The sequence below is a fragment of the Homo sapiens genome, chromosome 4 (assembly GCF_000001405.40).
Source record: "Homo sapiens chromosome 4, GRCh38.p14 Primary Assembly".
Classification (NCBI taxonomy): Eukaryota; Metazoa; Chordata; class Mammalia; order Primates; family Hominidae; genus Homo; species Homo sapiens.
Window position 1 is genome coordinate 35,972,526 of NC_000004.12, and position 6,054 is coordinate 35,978,579.

A 6,054-nucleotide genomic window follows, 5' to 3' on the forward strand; every position below is an offset into this window, starting at 1 on the left:
GTGAAAAATATACTTGTAATAATGTTTATATACTTAAGGAAAGTTCAATAATTCATACTGAAGAAGAGGGTACATTATGGAAATTCGATGGTGGGTTACATTTTAATTCTGAAATAGAACTATTTAAATCTAAAAATAAATTAAACTCTTAGTAAACTCTTTGCCCAGAAATTATTTGTAGTATTTAAATAACTACTTATTTCCAAGTAATAATTTTTATTAAGTAGTGTACTCATCTGAATGTTAAAAAATTTATGTCCAGGAATAGTCACTGTTTTAAGAGTGCTTTTCACACTCCCCCTCCTACCTCCAATCCTACAGTTTTTTACACTTATTTGGATTATATTCACATTTGACTTTCTGGCGTTTTAGAAAACCTCTCTCCCACTGGCTCTGAAAATATAATTTTTAAATGTGTAGTGTTTGTTCACAGTTGGCTACTTTATCATTTTGTGCTTTATAGCTAATGATGCATTTCCTTTTCGCTTACTGTGGCAAAAAGAGAAAATCCAATCCATGCACACCGTTCTGTGAAATCTAATGTGTACAGCAGTCCTTCTGGCAATCTGAATCAGTGATGATTAATAGATATCTAATGATTTTCTTAGTTTTCTGTAATTCCTTAACTCTTACTAATTGTTGAATTTTAATAACTAACGTTGTAATGTAAATGAAAGAAAGAAGAAAAGAAAGGAAGGAGGAAGGGAGGGAAGGAAAGGAAAGGGAAGGAAGGAAGGGGAGAGGAGGGGAGGGGAAGGGAGGGAGGAAGGAAAGGAAGGAAAGAAGGAAGGAAGGAAGGGGGAAAGGGAGGGAGGCAGGAAGGAAGGAAGGGGAAGGAAGAAAGGAAAACTAAGTTCTCTGGAACCATTATAAAAACAGCAAAAGAGAGGAGAAGGAAGAGTAAGGGAAGGGATAGAGTGGAAAGAAGAGAATGAGGAAAGCTGAGAAGGAAGAACAGAAGGAGTAGAGGGAAGAAAAGAAAGACCTGATTAATTATATAACTGAAATACTATGGGGTATCAAGTCAGAAGGAATCAACTCTGTTAATACATGTCCTTGTGCTTTATTGAAAGCCAAAATTTACACAAACTAGCTCTTCACAGTCCAAGTTTGCCAGATATTTGGCAGCATCCCTATACACAAGTTGCTTTTGTTATAAATGTTGTGATCACATATACTGAATAATAAATGCACACATTTGCATTACTTAAGCAAAATAATATACTCAAGTCTCCAAAGTATCATATTCAACAAGCATTCTGATGGTAAATCAATTATTTTAATCATAATTAGAGCAAGACCTTTTCTCAATGTTGATCATCTGTGATGTCCGAGCACACTGCTTAATCAACTAGTGCCTTAGTATTCTCATCTGTAAAATAGCAATAATTACTATTATCTCTAATAATTACTATTACCTCCTTATTAGAATTGTGAGACATGAAAAGTTGTATCTTGCAAATAGTAAATGTTCACTAATAAGTGCTAGCTATTATTATCTATTACACACAGCCTTCTGAATGGCTTATTTTGAAACTTTGAGGAAGATAGCTTTTGGGGGTTTCCCCAGAAGCAAACCCTGAATTTTAGTGCAAGGATTTTATTTGGGAGGTGATCTCAGAACACACAGGTAGATTGCAGAGTTGAGACAGAGAAGAAAAGGGTGACAAAACAGGGTTGTAAATGAAGCAGGTATCCCAGAGGGGCAGTAGGGACTTAATCCAACTGAGGACCTCGAAGTAATACTAGAATATTCCTCAGACTTTTCCCACCCAAGGATTAAGACAGTGGGTTACTTTTCCAATGACTGCCACCTGTCATTACTCTGGAAGAATAACTCTCCAGCGTTCTCATCCTGCCTTGCACAAGGGACATACCTGCTCTTGTTCCAGGAAAAAGCCTTAAGGCAGGGAGCAGCAGAAGTCTATAATATGAAGGCAAGGTTGTGTACAGGAGCAATGGAGAGCCAAGAAAATACAAGCAGATCCCTGAAGGGGACAGTTACACATACACAAGTTTTTCAAAATTCTGCTTCTAAAATATTCTTTTCACAAATATGTAATGAGCTTCTACTGTTCTCAAATTAACAGACCAATTGGAACTAAAAGATAAATCAGGCATGGCTTTGCCACTCAATGAACTAACAGCCCATTTGAAAAGTTGAGGGAATAAACAATGCTACCTTGATTCTCAGGCATCCTTCTGCCTCCTTCTCCATTAATTTCTTTTTTTCAAATATGAAAAAGTGATGCACATTTAAAACCTCACTCTTGATGAGTAGAATAAATTCTTGGTCTTCCTTTCCCAAATTTCTGGCATGTATTAGGGAAGATAAAATTTTCCTGGTGTTCATTTGAGAGTAGCTATGTGGCTTTGGGCTAGGTATTTAACTTCTTCAAAAGTCAATTATCCTTATCTGTAAAATGAGATGAAGACATCTGTAATATAGTGTACCTTGAGCATTAATTATGCATCTAATGTGCTTGGCACTGTGCCTACCATAAATTTAGGACTCAGCAAATGGCCATTTGTTAGCAAGTTGAAATTTTTCAAATGCCCACAACCCATTGCTATGGAGTGTTTGGAGTTACAAGAAGAGAGCAAGGGTTTATGGAGCAAGACATTGAATTTTACTAGAGTAGAGGAGAGATTACTGACTCAAGAGACAGACTCAGGTGTTTACCACTTTTCTTCACTCCTACAGCTGTGCCAAATATTTGAATTATTTCAACTTCTCTGATACCCCCTTACCTCATTGAGAAAACTAGGATAACAATGCCTGCTTAACCAACTACAGTAGGAAAGTGTGAGACATTAAATAGAAATCCATAAGAGCCATTTGGAAAAAATCAGCCAATATAATTAGAAAGAAAAAAAGTTAATTTTAAATGATCAGAGGAAAAAATGTTTCCTCACATTAGCTATGATATTTCAGTGGAAACAAATCAGACAAAGGCAACCTAATTTTATTAATATTTTTGCAATGTTATTAGACAAAGTGTACATGCTAGATAAGCCATTAAATATATCCATTAGTTTATAACAACAAAAATATCATTTTAGGATATTTTGTCATACAGTTCCTAAGCTCTTTTGTCATAGAAATGACCTTAGACTCTGAACTGACTTCTTAAACAATTTGATAGAATGGAAGAAACATTTCAGGTAGTGGATTTGCTCCCTGGGGGCTACCACCTAATGCTAATGACAGTTATTGTACTTTTGTTGGAGCCATAATGACATAAAACATCCCTTCAGACAGCTCTCAGCTGCTGTCACTTTCATTTTCATTCTTATTAATTCATCAAGATTAAAAAGGTCATTGGAATAAGATGGGTAGTGAATGAGTCATATTTGATGTAAAGTTACGGAGTAGAGTAAGCCATTCTCTTCAGGTTCCTTAGTCCAATCAAGCTGCTATAACAAAATGCTATAGACTGGATGGTTTATAAACAGAAATTTATTTCTCACAGTTCTAGAGGTTGGGAAATCCAAAATAAAGTGTCAGCGTATTCAATATTTGGTGAGGGTCCATTTCCTGGTTCATAAACGTTGCCTTCTTGCTGTGTTCTCACATGGCAGAAGGGGCAAGGCAGCTCCGGAAGGCCTCCTTCATAAGGGTACTAACCTCATTCCTGAGAGTCTCATCCTTATGACCTAATCATCTTTCAAATGCCCCACCTCCTAATACCATCATCTTGGTGATTAAGCTTCAACATATGAATTTTAGAGGAACACAAACATTCAGATTATAACAGCAGAGAAACTCAAGTTTCCTGTTGGTTTCTTTTTAGAACTCTCCTAAACTCAACATATACTACCAAAATAAACTGTGATTTATTGTCACTCAGTTTTATTGGTCTGGAGGTTAAACATGTGGTTGACTCTATACAAACAAGTGACACAGTCTTCTAAACAGCAGTGTAAAGAAAAATTAATTGACTAGGAGTCAGGAAGGATGAGTTCTAAACCTGCTTACCTGTTATTATTCAGTCTTTCACTTGTAAATAGCAATAAAAAATACCTGCTTTGACTACCCTACGGGGAAGTCAGCAGAACCAAAAGGCTACATATACTAAGAGGAAACCATCTGATATGGCTTGGCTGTGTCCTCACCCAAATCTCATCTTGAATTGTAGTTCCCATAATCCTCATATGTCATGGGAGGTGCCCAGTGGGAGGTAATTGAATAGTGGGAGCAGTTACCTCCATGCTGTTCTCATGATAGTGAGTGAGTTCTCACAAGATCTGATGATTTTATAATGGGTTTTTCCTGCCTCTTTATTTGGCACTTCTCCTTGCTGTTGCTATGTGAAGAAGGATGGGTTGTTTCCCCTTCTGCCATGATTGTAAGTTTCCTGAGGCCTCCCCAGACCTGTGGACCTGTGAGTCAAACCTCTTTCCTTTATTAATTACCCAGTCTCAGGTATATCCTAATAGCAGCGTGAAAATGGATTAATACACCATCTCTGTATTTATGCTCAAGTTTATAAATATAGTCCCCTCATACATTTTCCAATTAATTGCTCGTGTACTCACCTGGCCAGTCATAGAAGTCCAAAAGTTTTTGGTAGTGTTATAAAGCCTAAATATCATGTGCTGTTCTGACATCTTTGAGTCTCACTGGGCCCTGAAGGCCTAACTGTGACTTCTTCTGCTCTGGCCAGATAAGATTCCCACCCGAACAGCCAGTTTCTTTATCAGATGGACAAACTACAGTCCATCCAGTCCTCAACCTACCCAGTTTTACTTCCCTACCAACACAAGAAATCATTGAAATCAATCACATCCTCCCGTAGAAACCAGGGGATATCTCATTCTTGTGTAACTACCAAACCTGCCCCCCATAGTTGTTGTTTTTTTATACTGTTCCCAAGTGTAATCCCCATGTGGTTCTTCGTGGTGTGAGGTGTCCTCCTTTCCTGGGCTATGAGTATATTTGACTGATAAATGGCTGTCTATCTCATCTGTCTGGGGCCAGATATTCAATTTTCAGCCATATTGTACTAAGGTTAGGGGAATCCCTCCTTCACCAAGAGGATAGACAGCAGGTGATCAAAATACCCGCTGAGGGCTCCCTTGCAAAAATTACCAGAAGCCATGGAGACTGAATCCAAAAATAGAGCAGAGAAAGCATTCAAATCTGATCAGTTAACTACTGCCCTTGCTTCTTCTTGACTCACATTAATACTGAAGTTGAGGAACAAGTGTAAGACAAATGCTTAGTATCTGGAGTGATGCCTTTCTCCTCTGTCTCCCAGCTGATATTTTGTAGTGGTCTCCACACTGGGGACCAAAATCACAATTCTGTCTACTCATATTTACCCTCTCATTCATTGTCTCCCAGCATCTCCAAAGTTGGCTATATCTTGAAAGGATATTTGGTTTCAGCAACAGATTATGCCAAAAGCAAACATCTTACACAACATCTTAGTCCTTTTTGTGAGTCTAGATTTCTAGTCCTCAAGGTCATTTAACTTCCAGGACTAATTACTCCCTCTACTACTGGCCATAATCTAAACCGCTTTGTTTTACACCTAACTAATTCTCTAACTTATATGCCTGGAGTACTGAAGTTGAGATATTGCTTCCTACCCCCACTCCAGAATGCCCTGAGATCCTTATGAAAATTGAGTTGCTCTCCATCTAGTTGCTAAGTCAATATCTCAACTAAGAAATTTTAGCTAACCCATTCCATTTTTAGGCAAGCTCTAGCTCAAAGGGGGCCCATTTGCCTTACATTTATGTAGCTAAAAGTGTACAGCATCTCACTTCTACCAAGGGTATATGAGAATTTACTGAATAAACTAAAATAATAACAGAAACATAGATTTATTCTGCTACAGATAACAGGAAGGAATATTGTATTTTAATAAAAAACACTTTTAACCATGCTCTAGAGCAGCATGGTCCAAACTAAATAGAATATGAGCCACAGATTTAATTTTAAAATTTTAAATTAAAGTAGCCACATTTTCCAAAATGAAAAGAGTAAGCAGATGTAATTAATTTTGATAATATGTCGTATTTAACCCAACTTATATAAAACATGAT

The 6,054-nt window shown here is 37.3% G+C and overlaps 1 long non-coding RNA gene across 1 annotated transcript; it reads right to left on the reverse strand.

Annotated features, from left to right (window-relative positions):
• Positions 1–1,047: 1,047 nt before the first annotated feature.
• Positions 1,048–2,911, reverse strand: LOC124900847 (uncharacterized). The gene is made up of 2 exons (XR_007058444.1): positions 1,878–2,911; positions 1,048–1,372 (listed from the first exon to the last, which is right to left on the reverse strand). It is a non-coding gene; the product is annotated as an uncharacterized LOC124900847 (long non-coding RNA).
• Positions 2,912–6,054: the final 3,143 nt, after the last annotated feature.